The 20270-nt window shown below is 35.7% G+C and overlaps 1 long non-coding RNA gene across 1 annotated transcript; it reads left to right on the top strand.

The window, feature by feature from the left end:
• Positions 1–18680: 18680 nt before the first annotated feature.
• LOC105377917 (uncharacterized) lies at positions 18681–19770 on the top strand. Its single transcript, XR_001743890.2, has 3 exons — positions 18681–18764; positions 19033–19140; positions 19691–19770. It is a non-coding gene; the product is annotated as an uncharacterized LOC105377917 (long non-coding RNA).
• The last annotated feature ends 500 nt before the right edge of the window (positions 19771–20270 follow it).

Consider the following 20270-nt stretch of genomic DNA (forward strand, 5'->3'; position numbering starts at 1 on the left):
ATTCTGAAGAGAATGTAGCTAGAGTGTTAATCAATAGTAAAAATATACGGTTGACAGCACATTGGAATTGGGCACCCTGAACTGCAGCCAATCATGGATGTTATCAATTTTGTTCTTAAAAGCATGTAAGGCAAGTTTGCCAACTGTCACTGCCAGACTATAACTTTCCCTCTTGTCTTTTGAGTCATTTAAAAATCCTGTTGGACTTCATTTTATTAACAGGTTAACAAATCTATTACAGTCTACTAAGGTACTACTGACTAACTTTGAAAAATTATCTACTTTATCTCATGTCAGTTGTGTAACACTTCTTTCCAAATATCAAACACTTAAAATGTTATCAGTCTTGAAGCAATATTGACACGAGCCCCTTTCATGTTGAAAGTTAAGGTTTTATTTCTCTAATTTTCCCATAGGGAATAACTCACTCTTAATTAATACAGAGTTCACAATGGATTTACAAATGAATTATGATTCAGAATTGAAGTTCTAATAAGGTCTTCATGAAATAGTGCAGAAAATCATGGAATTATTTTCTCCTTTTTGACTACATTCAAATTATGAAAGAGGTTCGATAAAAGTTGTTAAGCATTTTGTTCTTCAAAAAGGTAACAAAGAATAAATATGCTTTTTAAATACTACCAGCTTTTTAAAGGCAGTTTTAAAAAATGTAATTAATGCAAAAAATTCTCACCTGAAAATTTTAAGCAGTCTTTTCAAATGAGATTCTTGCCATTTTTTATTTTGAAAAGGTCTCTGAAGTCTTAGCTTTTTTCAAAGCAGTTTCATGGCAAACCATATCACATGTTATCAATCTGAACTTAGATATTTGTTTTAAAACATTAGTGTTTCAAAGTAGAATATAATTTAGTATTGTTTCACAGTAGAATAAACTATAATACATATTCTATATGAACAAAAGTACAATATTTTTCTGAAACATTGTTTTAAGATTATTATAATACATGTTTAAAGACAAATGTAATGAATTTTCAAAGGATACACTATCACAAATATTTTTCTCTAATTACAGTATTCAATAATCAATTTATACTTCATGTAGACATAAGACTTGGATAATGTATATAAAATAATTAAAAATATCTTAAACATATTAACTATTGTAGATTTTGAAACTAAAGATTAAGTCATATATAATTATATTAATTTTGCTGGATACATGTTATTACATCAATTTTTAAATAAAAATCTTAAAAATTATAACTTTGAATTAAATACTGAAAAAATTTAAGCTGCTCAAGCATCAAGAGTCCACACCATGTACATTCAACTGAAGGAGAAAAACATGAAGATGATATAAAGCATCATAACCTTATTCACACACACTTTAAAGCAAAAATGAGTGAGTTGTAGGCAAGGAATAAAAGATTTTGGATGGAAAATAGGGCTCAATTTTTGTTGTTGCAAAGACTGCTGAACCTGGTTTATGATTATGTATCTGTGATATCTAGTATGCTGATGGGAACTAAACACTTTAATTACCATTTTTATCTGCATGACAGCAAACATTCAATTATCTGTAAACTTCTTAATGACTAATTGAATTATATATAAATTATCTTCAGTGTTTAGTGGCTCCAGGATGTAGAGATGGCTTTAATTGAAAATGGCCAACTTTTCTTGGCAGTCAATTCAGTGAGACAAAACAGAAAACTATCTTAATCAATGCCTTCTTACTCATCTATCTCTCCTAGTAGCCTTTCAACAAGCAACTACGATGAGTGTTAATCAATTCCCTAAATATGACTGATCTCCAGAGCATTATGACAAATAGCCAACTTAACTTTTGAACAATTCTGCTGGCACTCTTTCTGCAGTCTGGGAAGTAGACACACAAAAGCAAACTTACTTGGTGTGTATCCCAATTCAAACACCTTTTCTTAGAGCTAAAAAGGATCTTGGAGATACTTCTGTGTTATACCCACCTTTTGAAGAAGGCTGAATAAAGGATGTATTTTCTGAAGCTAAAAATATATCCAGAATGTATTATTAATAAAACATATTTGTAATAATGCAAGTATCAGATAAAGCATTCTGTAAAAAATATAATACATATAAGAGTCAGGAAAAAAAGGAAAAGAATGGATCTGTTTTTTCTTCTCTTGAAACCTGCTTTCTACGAAGCCCCTCACCCAGCAGAACAACAGAGTAAGGGGAATAAAACCAGCCACCAAGTGTAGCTGGGTGTTAGCCAAGGATACTCTCTACATTTGATGACTGTAAAAATCAGTGGTTGAGGCTTTCTTGGCAAATTTTAGGAAGGAGGTATATTATGAAGTATAAAATGTTAATTTGTTAGAGTTCTTCAAATGCTCTTTAAAATAACTACGGTGTATTCCCCGTGGTCATTCGTTGCTTATAAAACTAGTTCCCCTACAGGAAAACTCTTTTCATGCATAACATCATGACACATGGTCCTTTGAAAGCTATAAAGCCAAGCAATTTTTCTTCTCAAGTTAAATAATACCTTGCTGCTGAATTCTGGCATCCTAAAGGCAAATGGAGCAAATGGAGCTCCACAAATGGAGCAGCGTGGCGTAAGTGAGAAAGGAGAAGAAGAGGTATTGTTGGTCACAATGTGAGAAACAACCTCAGATCAGCATTTCTTTAACTGAATTTGATGGCCAAACATCATGTATTTTTATAATCTGAGTTCACATTAAATTGCTTGACTTCATGGTTTTTTTCTTCCTCTAAGGAATCTAAAATTCATTTTTAAAAGCACTTTTAATGCTATTAAACTCTGAAAGTAAACTACCCATTTTTATTGTAATTCTCCATTGATGTTTTTTATTTTGCAGATGTTATAGATGAGTTTATCTTCCATTGGAAAGTGTTTATCTCATTCTTTCATTAGATATCCTCACAAAAATAGAATATTTTTTAGATATCATATGCATAACACTGCAAAAGGGAAACTATTATAACTCATTTGCTCTCTTAAACTCAACAGATGACCCTGGTTAGTTTATCACTGAAAACAATCACCTTGCCTAAATAGCCCCAACTTCCTTTCCCTTTACCTCCATTTTTCTATCTTTAGTTAGACTTTGTTTTCCTTGCTGGATGATACTTTACATTTCTAAGTGGTGTGCTTCCCAATTTCCTTTCCTCATCTCCTGTCATGTTTGACTTTTTTTTATTATTATACTTTAAGTTTTAGGGTACATGTGCACAATGTGCAGGTTAGTTACATATGTATACATGTGCCATGTTGGTGTGCTGCACCCTCAAAGAGCCAACATTCAAGTTTAGGCTTGCTTTCAGTTAGAAATGATTCACTTTCCCATGGCTATCAGAACTGGGCCACTGTAGAAGTAAAAACACACTCAATTTAATGTAAGAAACTGAATCAAATGCCTTTTTGAGGCACTCCAAATGAAGATGAAAGACTTTACAGTTTAGAGAAAAGAAAATCCAAGAGAAAACAGCAACAGGAGCAAATTAGGTAGGAAGTCCTGCATCACAGAAACAAGCCCATACTTTTTCCTCTCTAGCCACTCGGTAAAGACCATTAAACCAAGCCAGCAAGTCATCCACTGACTATCCAGCAGAAGATGCTGCACCTCTGTGCTCCCTTTTGGGGGCATGTTTGCTCCACATGCCCCCAAAACAGCCAGCAGCTATATGAAGCACACTATGTGGACAACCCCAGTTCAGTTTGCCATAACTAATGGAAAGCTCTATGGTTGGTGAATGGGGCCTTGGACACCTAGAGTGGTGGTGGTAGGATGAAGGTATAGCCCCTGTACCTGTCAGAGAGAAGACCAGACAGAATCATTTGAAATCTCTTAGTAAAGATTTCTCCCAGCCTCTCCATTCTCCCCAAGGTATAAGGAAGATAAGTCTCTATCTTTTACTCCCTCCCAGCCTCTCCATTCTCCCCAAGTTATAAGGAAGATAAGTCTCTATCTTTTACTCCCTCCCATTTCAATAGTGAATCTTTCAATGTGCTCTTATTGGCTGCTTCTTCCTCTTCAAGACTTGGCTCCATTAACTTCCTGCCCCACCACTTCATACTTTCTCTTTCACCCCAAGGGCCATTTTCCTTCTCCCAGCCCACACCAAAGTGCAGAAATACATTCAAAGGAATTGCTGACTTAATTGCAAAGCAATAATTCCCTTCTCTGAGGCCTATTTGCCAGGCTAATATTTTCCCTCTGGGAACTGAGTTAGGATGGCCTGAGATAAGGAAAGAGAAAAGGCAGAATAGTAACTTTCAAACTCAGAAGGAATTCAAAGTTTAAGACAGAAGAAAAATCTTTCCTGAACAGGACCAAGGTGCAGAGCAGAAAGGACTATGAAAATGAGCTGTTCAGGAGCATAAAACCCTTCTTCCTACCTCATCTGTGGATAATCAATTACTCAATACTTCTGGAGACCTGTAAGGCCACCTCCATCACTAGCTGCATCCCACAAACTTGATGTTGTATGCTTGTTATCATTCTGTTCCAACAGATTCCAATTTCTCTTGTGATTTTTTCTTGGACCAAACGATCACTTAGATGTCTTTCATTTAATTGCTGTATGTTCTTGGCACAGGGTTTGGTGGGGGTGTTTCTGGTTATCTCACTATTATTGACTCTTTAATTTCATTGTTGTCAAGAACAGTATAATTTCAATATGTTTAAAGTTATTGAGACACGTTCTATTGCCAGATTATTATCTATTCTGGTATAGTACTATGTGCACTTTAAAAGGAAGTGTTTTGTTGTCTGGGGCTGTATCGACATATGAATATCAATTAAGTCAAAGAGATTGATAGTGTTGTTCAGATTGTCTATGGCTTTGATGGTCTTTTGTTTCTTGTCTAATTGTTCACTCAGTTCTTGAGAGGGGCTATTAAAATATACAAATATGATTGTATACTTGGCTGTTTCTCCATTTAATTCTGTCAACTTTAGCCTCCTATCTTTTGAATCTTTGTTATTGGGCCCATACACCTTCATGAATGTTATGACTTCCTGAAGAATTGAACCTTTTATCATTATGAACAATCTCTCTTAATACTATTTTGTTTTTAAATCTATTTTATCTAATGTTAATATGGCAAAGTCAGCCTTCCTATGTTTACTACATATATAGATATCTTTTTTTCATCCAACCTGTGTATTTACATTTAATATGCATCACTTTTATACAAAATACATTTTGTTTGTTTGTCTGAATACATTCTAACAATATCAACTTCGATTTGGAGTGTTTAGTCCATTAACATTTAATGTAATGTAATGTTGATATGATTAAGTATGAATTTACCATTTTAATTTTTGTCTTCTACATGACTGTCCTCTATTCCTCTTTTCCTACCTTTTTAGGGGTGGTATTTAAATGTATTTGGAATTTTATTTCAATTTTTTGTTGATATTTTAGCTACACTTCTTTGCAATCTTTTCAACTGTTGACTGAAGGGATTGCAATGTATATCTCTGACTCTTCACAGACAGTAGAGTTAATACTACTAGTTCACATAAAACATAGAAATCTAGCACAGTTACAGTTTCATATTCTCTCATCCTTTGTTATAATGGTTGTATCTCTATGATACCTACATACATTATAATCCCCTCAATAGGAAGTTATATTTTGTGCTTTAAATGCTTACATAGTTTTTAAAGGTATGAGGTAAAAAGCAAAACAAAAATTTTCATTTGCTTTTATACGGATGTTAACCATTTCTGATGCTGTTCATTCTTTCCTGAGAACCTAAATTTCTACCATTTTTCTTTATTCTAAAGAACATGACTAATCAATAGGCATAAAGTTTCAGTTAAGCAAGATGAATGAGCTCTAGAGATGTATCGAACAACAATGTATCATATACTTTAAAAAACTGTTAAGAAATAGATCTTGTATTGTGTTCTTTATCACAATAAAATAAAATTCAAACAAAAGATATTTAAAAGTAAAGAATGTCCTTTAGCATTTCTTATAATGCTGGTCTGGTGGCAACAAATTGTCTTAGTTTATTTTATCTGAAGATGTCTTTATTTCATCTTTATTTTTGAAGGATATCTTCAGTGAAATAGACTTCTAAGTCGACAGGTTTTGTGATTTTGTTTTATTTTTATTACTTTAAAGATGTTTTATTCTTTCTGGACTTCATAGTTTCTTATAAGAAGGCAGCTATTAGATTCTGGTTTCCCTATATGTAATATGTCAGTTTGCTCTTTCAAGATTTGTTCTTTATCTTTGGCTTTCAACAGTTTGACTGTAATATGTTTCTAAACAGGCTTATTTGTGTTCATTCTGCTTGGTGTTAGTTTAACATCTTGTATTTACAGACTTTCTGTCTTTCATGTATCTTGGGGAAATTTTTGGTATTTCCTAAAATATTTTTTTGCCCCTGTTTCTCTTTTCTCTTTCTAGGTTTCCAGTTCTGCATATGCTGGACTGCTCAATGTTGTCTCACAGCTCACCAACATTCTGCTCATTTTTTCAATTTTCTCTCCATTCTTCACCTTAGATAATTTTATTGATCTATCTTTACTTATTCTTTCCTCTGTCATTTTCATTCAGCTGTTAAATCTATCCTGCTAATATTTTTATTTTAGAAATTACATTATTTGATGCTACAATTTACATCTAATTTTCTTCCTGTATCTATTACTCTGCTCAAATTTTCTTCATTGAAAACATGCTTTCTTTTACTTCATAGAGGATAAGTATTTCCGTGACTTTTAAATCTTTGTCTATTATTTCTAACATCTTATTGATCCTTGAGTTAGACTTAGTAGAGTTTATATTCTCTTGAGAATGAGTTCCATTTTGTTCGTTTTGTATGCTAAGTACTTTTAGGTTTCATCTTTAATGTCATGTATGTTAATTTGTGAAGATTCTGAATTCTGCTATTATTCTCCATTAGTATTGTTTCCTTTGTTCAGGCAGGTAATATTTCCAGCTAGACTTGTACTACAACCCCTATTCCTTGGGCAACAGCTCCAGTCTCACTTCAGTCTAATTTTTATCTAAGCTGTTCCAAGTGTAGTCTGCACATACAGGCATACCTCAAGATACTGCAAGTTCGGATCCAGACCACCGTGATAAAGTGAATATCACAAGACAGTGAGTCACATGAATTTTTTGGTTCCCAGCACGTATAAAAGCTATGTTTACACTATACTGTAGTCTATTAAGTGTGCAATAGCATTATGTCTTAAAAAATGTACATACCTTAATTTTAAAATGCTTTATTGGTAAATATTGCTAACAATAATCTGAGCCTTCAGTGAGCTGTAATCTTTTTGCTGGTGGGGGATTTTCCCTTGATGTTGATCTCTGCTGACTTATCAGGGTGGTGGTTGCTGAAGGTTGGAGTGACTGAGAATTTCTTAAAACAGGACAACAATGAAGTCTGTCACATACATTGACTCCTCTTTTCACACACACGAAAAATTTCTGCAGCATATAATGCTATTTGATAGCATTTTACCCACAGTACAACTTCTTTCAGTCTTGGAATCAATCATCTCAAATCCTGATGATTCATCAGCTAAGTTTATAGAAAATTCTAAACCCTTTTTCATTTTAACAATGTGCACAGCATCTTCACCAGGAATAGATTGCATCTCAAAGCACATCCTTTGCTCACCTGTAAGAAGCAACTCCTCATCTATTAAAGTTTCATCATAAGATTGCAATTCACTCCCTTCTTTAGGCTCTACTTCTACTTCTAGTTCTAGTTATTTTGCTATTTCTGCCACATCTGCAGGTACTTCCTCCACAGAAGTCTTGGACCCCCCAAAGTCACCCCTGATGACTGACAGTTGGAATCAGCTTCTTCCAAACTCCAGTTAATGTTGATAGTTTTACCTCCTCCCTTGAATCATAATTGTTCTTAGTGGCATCTAGAATAATGAATCCTTTCTGAAAGGTTTTCAACTAACTTTTCCCAGATCAGAGTAATCACTATCTATGGCAGCTATAGCCATACACAATTTATTTCCTTTTTTTTTTTTTTTTTTTTTGAGACGGAGTCTCGCTCTGTGGCCCAGGCTGGAGTACAGTGGTACAATCTCAGCTCACTGCAAGCTCTGCCTCCCAGGCTCATGCCATTCCCCTGCCTCAGCCTCCTTAGTAGCTGGGACTACAGGCGCCTGCCACCGTGCCCAGCTAATTTTTTGTATTTTTAGTAGTGACAGGGTTTCACCATGGTCTCGATCTCCTGACCTCGTGATCTGCCTGCCTCGGCCTCCCAAAGTGCTGGGATTACAGGCTTGAGCCACCACGCCCGGCCTATTTCTTTTTTAAATTGATTAAGCACATTTATTCAATCTACTGTGTATTCTCATACATTTAATTTTTATCTTAAAACATTTACAAAGGTCAATTTACTAATATAGTATAAAATGTACATTAGTTTCAATCTACATCTTAAAAATATGATAAAATATGAAAAAGTACTGTTTCATATTTTATCATCATATGTATAAAATATTCAATACTCATCTTGTTTTCCAGATTAGAAAAATAAGCTTCCACAAAGGAATAAGACCCTGTGTCTAAGGTAAGGTTTGTTTTACTTCATACCTTAAAGGTTTATACATTTGAAAGTATTATTGGTGTGATTTATTTTATTTTATTTATTTTCTTTTTTTGAGACAGTTTTGCTCTTGTTGCCCAGGCTGGAGCGCAATGGCGTGATCTTGGCTCACCGCAACCTCCGCCTCCCGGGCCCAAGCAATTCTCTTGCCTCAGCCTCCCGAGTAGCTGGGATTACAGGCATGCACCACCATGCCTTGCTAATTTTGTATAAAATGTTTCATTTTTAATATGCATACATCAACATTAATTGGGATATAGTGAGGAAGAAAAAATTGAGGTTTAAAATTTCTCATTAGATATAAAAATATCTAGCCCTAAGTAAAATTTTAAGATATTTTTGTTTTGACAAAGACATCATATATTTTACTTGCTTGTTACTTAGTTCAACTAGTGAGTAATGGAGATAAAGGAGAACTACAAACAACTGCACACAGAAATCAGAAAGGACACAAACAAATGGAAAAATATTCCATGCTCATGGATAGGAAGAATCAATATTATGAAAATGGCCATACTGCCCAAAGTAATTTATAGATTCAATGCTATTCCCATTAAAACCATTGACATTATTCACAGAATTGGAAAAAGCTATGATAAATTCATATGGAACAAAAAAGGGCCCAAATAGCCAAGACAATCCTAAGCAAAAAGAACAAAGCTGGAGGCATCAGGCTACCTAACTTCAAACTATACTACAAGGCTATAGTAACTAAAACAGCATGGTACTGGTACAAAAACAGACACATAGCCCAATAGAACAGAAAAGAGAACTCAAATAAAATCACACACCACACACACATCTGATCTTTGACAAACCTGGCAAAAACAAGCAATAAGAAAGGATTCCCTATTTAATAAATGGTGCTGGGAGAACTGGCTAGCCATATGCAAAAAATTGAAATTGGATCCCTTCCTTATACCTTATACAAAAATTAACTCAAGATGGATTAAAGACTTAAATATGAAACCCAAAACAATAAAAACCCTAGAAGAAAATCTTGTCAATACCATTCAGGGCATAGGCACAGGCAAAGATTTAATGACAAAAACACCAAAAGTAATTGCAACAAAAGAAAAAATTGATAAATGGGATTTAGTTAAACTAAAGAGTTTCTGCACAACAAAAGAAACTATCATCAGAGTAAACAGACAACCTACAGGATGGGAGAAAAATTTTGCAATCTATCCATCTGACAATGGCCTAACATCCAGAGTCTTCAAGGAACTTAAATTTACAAGAAAAATAACCCCATTAAAAAGTGTGCAAAGTATATAAACAGTACACTTCTCAAAAGAAGACATACATGCAGCCAACAAACATATGAAAAAAAAACTCAACATCACTGATCATTAAAGAAATGCAAATCAAAAACACAGTAAGATACCATCTCACACCAGTCAGAATGGCAATTATTAAAAAATCAAGAAACAACAGATGCTGTTGAGGTTGCAAAGAAAAAGTAATGCTTTTACACCATTGGTGGGAATGTAAATTAGTTCAACCATTGTGGAAAACAGCGTGGCAGTTCCCCAAATATCTAGAAGCAGAAATACCATTTAACCCAGCAATCCCATTACTGGGTATATACCACAAGGAATATAAACCATTCTATTATAAAAGATACATGCACACATATGTTCATTGTAGCACTATTCACAATAGCAAATACAAGGAATCAACCCAAATGCCCGTCAATGATAGATTAAATAAAGAAAATGTGGTACACCATGGAATACTATGCAGCCATAAAAAGGAACAAGATCATGTCCTTCGCAGGGACATGGATGGAGCTGGAAGCTGTTATCCTCAGTAAACTAACACAGGAACAGAAAATCAAACACTGCATGTTTTCACTTATAAGTGGGAGCTGAATGATGAGAACACATGGGCACATCAGGGGGATCAACACACTCTGGGACCTGTTATGGGGTGAAGGTAGGGAGAGCATCAGAAGAATAGCTAATGGATGCTGGGCTTAATACCTAGGTGATGGGTTGATCTATGCAGCAAACCACCCATGGCACACGTTTACCTATATAACAAACCTGCACATCCTGCACATGTACCCTGACACTGAAAAGTTGATTTAAAAAAAAAAAGACAGCTAAAATGTATTTAAGATACATTCAAAATATTTCTATTTTAAAAATTAGCTTAACCTTTGACATTTAAAATATCCCAGAAAATTAAATCTGGAAAGATTAGTTTTCCAATGTGCCAAATGACTAAGGTTTTACTGATTTTAGGACGTCTAATTCATAAATTTATCTACATTACTTAAAATGTATTTCTTAAATAACAAAACTTGAAAGTTAAAATCACTCCTTAATTCATGGGCTTCAGAATGGGTGTTGTGTGAAAACATGCATGAAAACAATCTTCTACTATATCTCCATCAGAGCGCTTGGGTACCTAGGAGCCTTGTCAATGAGCAGTAATATTTTCAGAGGAATTTTTTTTTCTGTGCTATTAGTCTCAACAGTGGCCTTAAAAAATTCAGTAATCTAGGCTATAAACAGATGTGCTATCATCCAGCCTTTGTTGCTCCACGTATAGAGCACAGGCAGAGTAGATTTAGCATAGTTCTGAAGGGCCCTAGGATTGATTGTTAAAATGGTAACGGAGCACTGGCTCCTACTTAAAGTCACCAGCTACATTAGCCTCTGTCAACCTGTCCTTTGAAGCCAGACATTGACTTCTCCTCTCTAGCTATGAAAGTCCTAGATGGCATCTTCTTCTAATAAAAGTCTGCTTTGTCTACATTGAAAATCTGTTGTTTAGCATAGCCACATTCATCAACGATCTTAGCTATATCTTCTGGATAAATTGCTGCAGCTTCTATATCAGCGCTGTTGCTTCACCTTGCACTTTTATATTATGAAGAAGACTTCTTTCCTTAAACCTCATGAATCAACCTCTGCTAACTTCAGTCTTTTCTTCTGCAGCTTCCTCACCTCCCTCAGCCTTCACAGAATTAAAGAGAGTTAGGGCCTTTCTCTGGATTAGATTTGGGCTTAAGGGAATGGTTTGATCTTTTATCCAGACTATTAAAACATCCTCCATATCAGCAGTAAAACTGTTTCACTTTCTTGTCATTCATGTGTTCACTGAAATAGCACTTTCCATTTCCTTCAAGAGCATTTCCTTTGCATTCACAATGTAACTGTTTGGCACAGGTGGCCTAGCTTTTTGGCCTATCTTGGCTTTCAATATGCCTTCCTCACTAAGCTTAGTCATTTGTAGCTGCTGATTTAAAGTAGGAGATGTATGACTCGTCCTTTAACTTGAACATTTAAAGTCCATTATATGGTTATTATTTGGCTTAATTTCAGTATTGTTGTCTCTCAGTGAAGAGGGAGGCCAGAGGAGATGAACAGACATGGGGGGATGGCCAGTCAGTGGAGCAGTCAGAAAACACACAATGTTTACCATCTAATTTGGGTGTAGTTTGTTGAACCTCAAAACTATTACAATAGTGACATCAAAGATCACTGATCACAGATCACCATAACAGATAAAATTTTAAAAATGTGAAACATCGCTAGAGTTACCTAAATGTGACACACAGACAGGAAGTGAGCATATTCTGTTTAAAAAAAAAAAAGAATGGTGCTAATAAACTTGCTCGCACAGGGTTGCCACAAACCTTCAATTGTAAAAATTAAAAAAAAAAAAATGCAATGTCTGTGAAGCCTAATAAAGTACAGCAAGATAAAATGAAGTATGCCTGTGTAACATTCGGGGGAAAGTCAGAGGCGTAAGGAGACCGATACTTTCTCTAGCTCTTTACCTTCTGGAGTTCTCCACACTCTTCGGCATTCATGGATTACCAGCTTCACTTTTGTTGTTCCCAGGGCCAGAAAAACAAGAGATTTTCTACATGTGTTCCTGCTGCCACTGCCCACGGTACTCTGTCAATATAAGTGTATCCTGTGTCACTCAGTGGACACTTAGTGCTAGGCTGAAGGACATGAAGAGGGAACTTAGTGGCAGAGTTGATCATCTCCCCTCCTCCAAAAATAACATGCTCTCCTCACTAAAGTAGTATACTTCGGTTCACTGTGAGTAACCTTCCAGAGTTGCTTTTTGCATTATTTTTAGCTTTCATAGTTGTTTCTTACAGGAAGCTTATCTGGTAGGATCTTACCCTGACATACATGGAAGCAGAAAAATTTGTAAAAATTTGTAAATGTAACTCCCCTTTTTCCCTCACATCTCACATTTAATTCTTCCACAAATCTTGGCGATGATATTTTACAAATATATCCGTCATCTGAACTGACCACCATGACTGCCACACTCTTTGAAACCACTGACCTCTCTCCCTTGGTTTTCTGTCAGAGTCTCCTTATTGGTTTTCCTCCTGGTTTTGTTCTCCTACAGTGTAGAGACACTGTAGCCACAGCAATCTTTCTAAAACACAAGCCAAATTACGTTACTCCAGTATTTGAAATCCTCCAATGACTTCTCATTTTACTTAGAGTAAGAATCCAGATTTATTTCAATCAGCTACAAAGGTGTAAATGATCTGGGCCTCCACAACTTGTTAATTCCCTAATGTCCTCCACTTTTCCTCGCCCTTCTCTGCAGGCTCCCTGTGGTTTCTCAAACACACCACGCTGTGTTTGCTATCCCTCTTTAGAATACTTTTCCCCAGAAACGTTCATGGCTCATTCTTTCATTTCCCTCGGGTCTCTGATCAGACATTATTTTACCATGAAGCCTTCCCTGCCTACCTGTATACAACAGCAATATGTTAGTCACTTTATATTTAATATTAGTGTTCATAATAAACCAAGTACTGCCCTATTCTGCCAATGAGAAAATTGACAGAGAGTGAAAGCAGTTACCTAAGCTCACATTGGCAGAGCCAGAATACATATTTGGGAACCTATAACTCTTCATCCTTGAGAACTACGGCAGAAAGCCACACTTGCAAAATTCTAGAAATGGTCAAGATGAATGAAACATATATTTTTATCATAAATTAATTAAGACCTGGCAATAACCTGACATGGTTAGAACAGCCTAATCTGCTCTGATTTTTTTATTTTTATTTTTTAAGAGATGGAGTCTTGCTCTGTCCCCCAGGCTGGAGTGCAGTGGCACGATCTCGGCTCACTGCAAGCTCCGCCTCCCGGGTTCATGCCATTCTCCTGCCTCAGCCTCCTGAGTAGATGGAACTACAGGCGCCCACCACCACACCCGGCTAATTTTTTGTATTTTTAGTAGAGATGGGATTTCACCGTATTAGCCAGGATGGTCTTGATCTCTTGACCTCGTGATCTGCCTGCCTCAGCCTCCCAAAGTGCTGGGATTACAGGCACAAGCCACCGTGCCCGGCCCTCTGATTTCTTTTCAATGCTTAATTCTGTCTGTGTGGATATCAGCAAATTATCAACACTACTCAAACTCTAGTCTCAAAGATTTTGATTGGCCCAAGCTGAATCTGGAAAGATTCTCCATCTCTCAGTACGTCTGTGATCAGTTCTTTCACTGAGTGCAGACTCTTGGTATTTTCCCCTCTGCATCTCTACCTGCTGTTCTCAAGCTTGGGGAGTTAGACTCACTAGCAGCTCATGCGGCCTTGATAAGGTCAACAAGGCCATCCTTCCCAAAAGGCCCACAATAACTTATCTGCTCTTTCTAATGGCCAAAATAGTCATGTGAAAGAACTAAATTCACCATGTTAGCCAGGATGGTTTACTAAAAATATTTAAAAACAAAAAAATTAGCCGGGCATGGTGGTGGGTGCCTGTAGTCCCAGCTACTTGGGAGGCTGAGGCAGGAGAATGGTGTGAACCCGGGAGGCAGAGCTTGCAGTGAGCGGGAGATTGAGCCATTGCAAAAACACTGGATTCACAGAACTAAGAAGAGCCATCAGAGAAAGCCCCTCCACTGGGGATAGAGGAAAAGTCAGGAAGTTAATGATAAAGGAAACTGGCCTCAGGCAATCATCTAAAACTCAAGCAGGAAAGCAGGCAGTATTAGGGTAGCCTGACAGTAGGTGGCAGTGGAGTCAATCACTGAAATGAAGATACAAGGGAAGTATTATGGTTTTAAGAAGAACTAGTAAGACTGAGATACACGCTGGCCTCTGGAGGTCAGAAATGATGGCAGGGTTTCATGGTAAGGTTTCAAGCACACAGCAATAAAAACAGACTCACAGGTACTTAAACTGCAGTAAAAGGAGGAGACTTCATCACATAAACCAAGGCAGGTAAGAGCCCTTTTACCGTAATCATGGTTGAAGATCTATAACATGAATAGCAAGGTTGACTTCTTACTTAGTTATAGATCCTTAAATTCTTCCTAAGAATAAAACCAATCCCAGTGCCTTGGGAATTCTATTAATAAATGGGAAGATTCAAGCAAAGCAAAGCCCTAATCTTTGAAATGCTATTTCAAAGGCTTTGAATTCCTTTAAACCAGGGGTGAGCAAACATGAAGTACCAGTTAGTAAATATTTTAGGGTTTGTGGGTCATACCATCCCTGTGGCAACTACTCAGCCCTGCCACTGTGCTATGAAAGCACTTGCAGACAATACATAAGCAAAAGGGCATGTCTATGTGCCAATACAATTATTGGAACTGAAATTTATTTATGGATGCTGAAATTTGAATTTCATAAAATTATCCCATGTCATAACATTTTCTCCTTGTGAATTTTTTTCTCCAATCATTTAAAAAGGTAAACATTATTCTTAGCTCACAGGCCATACAAAAACAGGTAGCAGTCCAAACTGGGTGCACAGCCCATAGGTTGCCAACTTCTGCTTTAGACAACAGAGTAACTTATAGTTTCCAGTGCAAAGGATCTCTCTAGCTCCCTCATTCATTTGCAGACCAGAGAGCAATGACAACTCCTCCACGGAACGAGTGGCCAAGCCCTTGATACATAAGGCCCTCCCCAATGTACATATATTTTTGCCTCATATTTTTTATCAACAGGAGATGCAGTGTAAGAGTAATGTCCACATCACTTTTGCATGATTCTTTGACCTTTATTTCAAAATGTCGTACAGTAACTTACAAAATGCCAGTATCGATATTTACACAAACATACAAGTGCACAATCAACAATTGCCTTCTTCCCAGGTTACTAGCTCTTTCCAACTCTCAGGTTTTTCTATGATTTATTAAGTTATTCTTCCCCTCTCATTTCCCCTGGGATAATCTCAATAATGCTATTACAAGCAACTAGAGCTTGTTATGTTCAATAAAATAAGCCAAGCACAGAAAGACAAATGTTGCATGTTCTCACTCACATGTGGGAGCTAAAAATGTGGTTCTCATAAAGACAGTAGACTGGTGATTATTAGAGGCTGGGAAGGGTGGGTGGGGGGATAAAGAGAGGTTGATTAATGAGTATAAATATAGTTTTATAGAAGAAATAAGACAGTGTTGATAAATCAGTAAGGTGACTATAGTTTACAATAATCCATTGCATATTTCAAAATAGTTGGAAGAGAGTAATTGGGATATTCCTAGCATAAAGAAAAGACAAATATTTAAGGTGACAGACATCCCAACTACACTGATATTTATCTTTACAAATTATATGAATGTAGTTAATAATCTTATGTACCCCCAAAATATGTACATCTATTATGTATCCAAAAAAACTGAAGTAAAAAAAAATTAAAAAAAGAAAGAAGCTAGGAACTGAAAGTTAAACACTGCTTCTTCTCACTCATGCAAAAGCTAAAAAATGTTGATCTCATAAAAGTAAAAAGTAGAACACAAGATACTACAGGCTGGGAAGGAGTGATAGAGAATTTTCAAACCATACAAAATTACAACTAGATAGGAGAGATAAGTTCTAGTGTTCTGTAGCACTATAGAATAACTATAGTTAACAGTAATATATTATACAGTTTCAAATATATAGAAGGATATCGGATGTTCCCAACACAAAGAATGATAAATGTTTGAGATGACGGATATGGTAATTAACCTAATATTATTACTATACATTGTATGTATTGAAACATCACAATGTTCCCCATAGATATGCACAATTATTACATGTAATTTAAAAATAAAATACTTTTAAAGTTAAAAAAGAATGTTATCACAGTATGAATCTATATTATCACAGCAGCAGTCATATTTTCCTGGAAATAAAAGAGAATTTTATTTTACACATGTTCACCTGTTGTTGGTACTTTCGTAAAAAGAGCCCAGCATTCAAAAGAAATTGCCATGGTCTGAAATCAGTTGATGAGCTGATTAAATCTAGTGATCGTGCAAATGGAAAAAAATACTCTTAACAACTGAACCTTTTAAATTTACCCTGTGATTTTTCATAAATGAAAAAGTTTACTTTTTTTCATCGTGTTTTTACATTTTAAAAACTCCTCCTGACTATCAAAGTAACACATGCTTATTGGTATTTATACTTTTAAGCCTCTCCCCCTTCATCCTCAAATCTTTTTGGATACTTCCAAGATACTGCTTTAAAGAAACTTTGGGATGCTGTCTTATGTAGTTATTCTTTGCTACTGTCACACCTCTCACTATAATAAAGTATGAAAAGGTTAAAGCACACATATTATCAGTCCTACCTAGAAATATTCTTTTCCCAACATAAGATAATTGAAATCTCAATTTGGAAAGTGAGAGGTAGAAGGGAAAAAATGCAACTCTCTTTAAATGTAATATAAAAAGAAATAGGGATGGAATCAAGAAATGCCCCAAGATCAAAGAATTTCCTTGTTTGAAAATTTTGTACAGTTCATGCTTAATTATTCATGCTAATGGAGGGCAGGAGACATACAAAAATGAATAAACTAAAACAATTTATAATTCTACTGAAGGTCCAATAGGAGCTTCCAAGTATGAGGGTTGATGTCTTCTCTAATTAATTTAACTGAAGACAAATAATTGATTTAATGATCTCACCACAATAAAATGGGTGGCTATGCACTTATTCAATTTGTAGACAATTGGCAGAAGTCTTCTCCAAAACTATTTATAAAGTTACCCCTTGACTGCATTCTAGGCTCAACAGTAGCTAAAGCTAAATTGGAAATTAAGTGAACAGACACATCTTTAGGTATAGATCAAACAATGAAAATAATAATAATAATAGCTGTCATTCACTGAGCGCTAACCATGTGCTATGTGATTTAAATGCAATCCTCATTTAATCCAATCAAAAATTCTATCAAGAAGCAATATTTTAGTTTCTATTTTACACATGGTAACATGTTCAAATTAAAATGTAACTTAAGGATTCTGAAGTCCTACTCTCTCCTTTTATTCAGTAGGAGAAACTGGATTCCAGAAGCCTGTCACTTGCCATGGGTCACATCTTATTAACAAAACTGTGGTTAGAAAGGTCTACTTACTTACTGGGACAACTTTGTCTCTCAAGCTTTTATAGCAATACACAGTTGATATCTGTACCATGGCCACTTGATCCAGAGACCCGAGCCTAGTAAGCACTAAATGTTTTTACTTCCGTCATCAAATATTTATTGTGCACTTAAATATGTGCCAAGTATGGTTTTAAGATCTGTGGAGGAACAGTGAACAAAATCCTGGCATACCCTGCCAACTGTTTCCCTGCTGATGTTTTCTGGGTAGAACACCACTAGGCTTTTAATACGAACACGTCATAGAAAATACCTATTATCTTTCAATAAAATATTTTTAGAATCAAATTTAGAGAAAAAAATGTATTAGAAAAAAACATATTTTCCTAAAACTCAAATATGAGTTTTAACTAAACATTATACATGAAATGTCTCAAGTTCTATCATGAAAGAAATTGTGAAACAGGAAAATCACATGTAGATATTTTGAAAATTGTGGTATCAGCACAGAAAATGTGTGTCTGGGGTGCCTCTGGTTTTAAGAAGAGGTGTGTTCCTATAAATAAGACAACTTCTTGTTAATAAGCAGATTGTTTGAAGTACCAAAAAATATTTTTTTCATGCATTTTACATTTTTGCTTGATGATAGTTTTTTACTTATAAATGTTTTACTGTTTTATATACATGTTGGGAAATTGGTTGTGGTTTTGGGTTTATATGTAATACATTATTTTCTGTCTACTACTAATAATAGGAAATGGATTCCTGGTTAACATTTTCACACAGAACATATGATTTTCTGGAACAGATTATTAACATTACAAGGGAGTTGCCTGGTAGTCAGAGATCCCTGCGATGGTGGAGCTGATATTCTAGAGGTAATTGAGAGACAATAAACATGATAAACATGGGTATTATCCAGTATGTTAGATGTGAATAAGCACTACAAAGAGCTACTAACCTAGTAGTCGGGTAGGGAATATGTATTTGTGTGGCAGGCACAAATGCAATTTTGGATCGAAGAGAAAGTGATCATGGAATAAAAACCCAAGAGAGGTGAGAAAGCCAACTATAGGTACATGTTGGGTAAAAACCATTCCAGGCAAAGACAGAATCACAAAGAATATTTCTGGTGAATTTCAATAGCAACGTGGAGCTTTGCTGGAGAAATACAAGAGATGAGGAGCATAGATGGTGATGGCATCGAAGAAGCAAGGACGTTGGGAAGAAAATCATACAGAAATAATGATGGTGGTAAGTGGTAAACACAACCGTTTTTTTCTGGTATTGAACCACTGTCCGTCCTTCAAGGCATTTTTATTTTCTTTCTACTTTACCTAAGATAGAAGCCTTGAACATACATCTTCCCCAATCTGTTTTCTTGAGAACTGTGTGATCACAGGAACACAGCTAATTATAGGGAAGGTCTGTTTCACAATCACAATTATTTTGGCAACCAATCATCTCCCATGGTACAAAGTTCCATTTGTAAGACACTATTATTCATTTCCTAAATTCATATTTAGTACAAAATGACAGACAGAATGTGTCCTCTACTGCTGAAGTCCAAAATCACATGATACACTGAAACATGCTGACAGGCAGAATTGTGGAATCTCCCTTCCCCAGAAATGTTTAAGAATGAGACTCTTCCCAAAGGGCAAGAGTCCCACCCAAAGGACAGGAGGTAGGTGGGCTTTGATGAGTCCTCTCAACACAGTGATTCTTCTGTTATTTCTCTCTAGGGGTCTCTTGTGGGGGTAAATTATTTAGTGATTATGAAGAGATTTTCTTTTCTTCACAGGGAAATAACAAGCTACATAAATCATATACAGATTGCTGTCAAGTTGAAATGTTGCTAAAAACTATGTACCTCCTAACCAGATAGTCTTTTTTAAAAAATACCAGAAGGGTGCTGTCATAAAATTTAATTTGATCCTGAAATGCTTAACAAAGACCAAGACATGAGGGAAGCAGAGGTCAGACCCAGACACATGGGTTGGAAAAGAGAATGATGATACAGATTCTAGTGATAGCGCTGTGCTGACACAGAGACAGATGAGGAAAAAGACACAGAAACTTTGAAGGTGAAAAACAGGATAAATCAAAGAGGGTAGTCTGAAGAATAAGAAGAGGTTTTAAAATAGCATTTCTCAGGAAAGTGGTAAGTTGAATCTTCTTTTGTGATGATATCAGGATGTTTCTTTCTACTTTAGAGCAGCTTGAGTTTAAAGAAGGGAGACCATCATCCAGAGAGTTTAAACAAGTAGGGGTAGGAAAGGCAGTGAGGCAATTGTGACCTAGCCTGGAACATAATTAAACATAACCAAATGACCAATAACTTATTATAACAATAAAAGAAAACAAAAAACAGTGATAATGTC

Source organism: Homo sapiens, chromosome 6 (genome assembly GCF_000001405.40).
Source record: "Homo sapiens chromosome 6, GRCh38.p14 Primary Assembly".
Taxonomy (NCBI): Eukaryota; Metazoa; Chordata; class Mammalia; order Primates; family Hominidae; genus Homo; species Homo sapiens.